Source organism: Homo sapiens, chromosome 4, assembly GCF_000001405.40.
Source record: "Homo sapiens chromosome 4, GRCh38.p14 Primary Assembly".
Taxonomy (NCBI): Eukaryota; Metazoa; Chordata; class Mammalia; order Primates; family Hominidae; genus Homo; species Homo sapiens.
The window spans coordinates 65,284,104-65,287,518 of NC_000004.12; positions in this window are offsets into that span (position 1 = coordinate 65,284,104).

A 3,415-nucleotide genomic window follows, 5' to 3' on the forward strand; every position below is an offset into this window, starting at 1 on the left:
GGTCCACAAAGCACACAATATATATTATCTCACCCTTTACAGATACATTTTGTTTGAATCCTACTTTAAGAAAAGAAAATGGTTTTATCTGAGTATAATTGAAATGAGAATATGAAGTAAAGTGACAATAACGGAGAAAAGTGGTTCTCAAACTTCAGTGTTTATCAGAATAATTCAGATCACTTGTTAAACTACAGATATCTGGCTTCCATTCTGAGTTTGCAATTCTGTACATCTGTGACGGGAACCCAGAATTTGTACTTCCAACAAGTTGGAAGTTGTTGCTGATGCTGCTAATCAGAGAACTACTTTAACATCACGTTTAAGAAACTTCAACATTTTTTAGCTGGCCAGCAGAAAATAAACCTGTAACGAAGTCAAGAAAACCGCTAAGAGAGAAAAATCAACACAGCATAAAAGATATTATTTCAAGAGAGAGAGTGCATATGTCCAGCTGTCAAAAGTGCTAAACAATAAAAAAAAATTGATGACTGAAAATAGTCTTTGGATTTGTAGAAAGAAAATATCTGCTGGTCCTTCTTAGTCTGCTGGTCCTTCTTAGTGAGACTGTCCTACCGTACTCTGGGTATATCATGGGAATACAACTACTTTACATCATATTACTAGAAACTGAATTCAAAAAAGTTGAAGTTAATAAATCATACATACGAAATTATAATTATGTCACTAGGTAACCTTGTTATATTTGAGATGGACACATGCCATCTCATTAAATGACTAAATATATATGTGATATTAAAAGAGTTGGAACAACTTGACAGATGTTAGAATTACTATTAGAAATAGGAAAAGCTTTGCAAAATTGGGCCAAAATAACTAATGTTAAATCTGACAATCTTTTTTTGTGCTCTACCATTAGCATATGATATTTGAAAATAAACTTTTGAAAATAAATAAATAACAACAGAGCCCTATTTAAAACCAAAAATAAAACTTGTATGTTTCTGACATCTTCGTAAATGAATTACTCCCAAAGAAATATTTTATCAAATTGCTGTCATTTTCCTAATGGTATGTGAGAGTGAAAAAAAACTTCCAACTGAGAAAAAAGCTGTATTTCCTTTTTTAGATCTTGTTTGCTTTGATCATTTAGTCATGAAAAATAAACTGAACAGCCATTATAAAAAATAAATAATCTTTTCTTACATTTGAATGCATTTTAGATATAAAACATGAAAAGGTTTGCAGTCCTTATTGAAAAATAAAATCTAATCATAGTTTTACTAAAATGTTTTGCCAGTTTTTTCCCTTTCTGCATTATCTCAAAGTGACAAAATTTCCTAAATCACAACCAAAATGTATGTATCTCCAAGTGCATTCACCAGAAGCCATATCCAGAAGAATATCTTGTAGTTTATTTCTTTTCTTCTTGGACATTCCCCCATGAGTTAATAGATTAAAGGGGCAGGCATGCATGTGTCCTGTAAAGGCAAGCCACAGAAGTAAAATATTAGCTCTCTCTAAATAATATGCATATTCTTAGTTATTAAGTTTCTCCTCTTTGTGGTTGCTTGGACAGGCAAATGTGTATATCAATAATTATTTAACTCTTAGAGACTATGCTTGGAGCCTATTGTACATTATTTGGTTCACTGTTTAAAAATTTGGGATATAAATCATTGCAGATAGGACCACATCAAATTTTACCTTTTTTAATGTGTTTTTTCGATTCAAATTTATCAACCTTAAAGGTATTAAGTTAAGGAAAATATTTATTTCTTAGACATGAATATAATTATGGCCTATGAATAATAATCTCAGCTTTTCTATTTGAATAATAATTTTTCATTTTTAGCTAGATAACCAGTACACAATATTTTGTGAATCATATTACCATTAAGACACAAGATTGAACTGAGTGATTATTCTGTCACACCATATAGTATCTGGGAAGATTTTGAATAAATATTTGATTCAATGTAAAATGAGTAAAATACACAGAATGATTTTTTTAAAAAAGAAAAAAAATACAATAATAAATTCAATGACCAAAAAGAGAAATAAATGGAAGAACAGTCTCAGAGATAGCAGCCTTAAGAGTGACTCATTCCTACTCCTGCTCTCCTTTGCGTGATCCTTCAGATCTTCTGTGGAAATTGGGCAAGTAAAGGGGACATGACAGGAAAGAAAAATAAAAGGCTCTATTCAGGGTAATAGAGTAAGTTGGACAAAAAAAGAATAAAACCGAGCTGAATTGGACGTTAGAAGAAGGGGTTTAAAGGATGAGTTTTGGAGTTGGACTCACTAGATTCAAATACTAGCTCCACCACTATGTGTTCTTGGGCAAATTATTTTTCATTATGCCTTTTATCTTACCTACAACAGTAACTGATTCCAACAGCTGTTACGAAGCCCCTAATATAAATGTTTAGAAGAACACCTCACAGTTAATAATAATCAAAACTTATTTTATTACTAAATTATTATCCTTTAGGTCTTTAAAAAGCAGAATTAGTAATGAAAAATAATGATTTTCTATAACACACCCAGTATGAGCATCTCTTAATTAGTTTGTGTTGATAACCCCAAAAATTTCTGTAAAAGTGACATTTTCTTAGAAAGCTTTATATTTATAATTATAATAAAATCAATATTTAAGTCTGTCTTGCTGAACACCCTCCAAATACTCCTATTTTATACTATTTTCTAATGTCTCCAGTAAAAGACAACATATAAGTAAATGTAATTACAAACTCTAGTAACCAATTGTAATTTAAATGTTCAAAGTCTTATGTATTTGTTCAATTTTATGCACAGAAGATGAGCTTTATGTGGTTCATTAGTCTGTTCTCATGCTATTATAAAGAAATATCGGAGGCTGGGTAATTTATAAAGGAAAGATGTTTAATTGACTTACAGTTCTGCATTGCTGGGGAGGCCTCAGAAAACTTGCAATCATGGCAGAAGGCACCTCTTCACAAGCCTGCAGGGGAGAGAGTAAGTGCTGAGCAAAGGGGGAATCCTTTTATGGAACCATCAGATCTCGTCAGAACTTACTATCATGACAACAGGATGGGGGAAGCCATTGTCTTGATTCAGTTATCTCTACCTGGTTCCTCCCATGACACGTGGGGATTATGGGAACTACAATTCAAGAGGAAATTTGAGTGGGGACACTGCCAAACCATATCACGTGATATGAGTAAAAGATAACTAGTTGTCACTGAGTCATGCAGATAAATTTTGTACTACTGTGTTCTTTGCCTTTTTTCTATTCTTTATTTCTCATCCAAGTTTAATTTCTCTGACTTGAATTTCATGTAATGTATTACAAAACATTTCAGTTTCTTTCCTGTATTACAGGCAGAAACCAAAGCTGTCTATTTTGAAAACATAGTTTTAAGGAAGCTCTTTATTATAGCATCATTTTTATTCCAGATTTATATTCTAATGC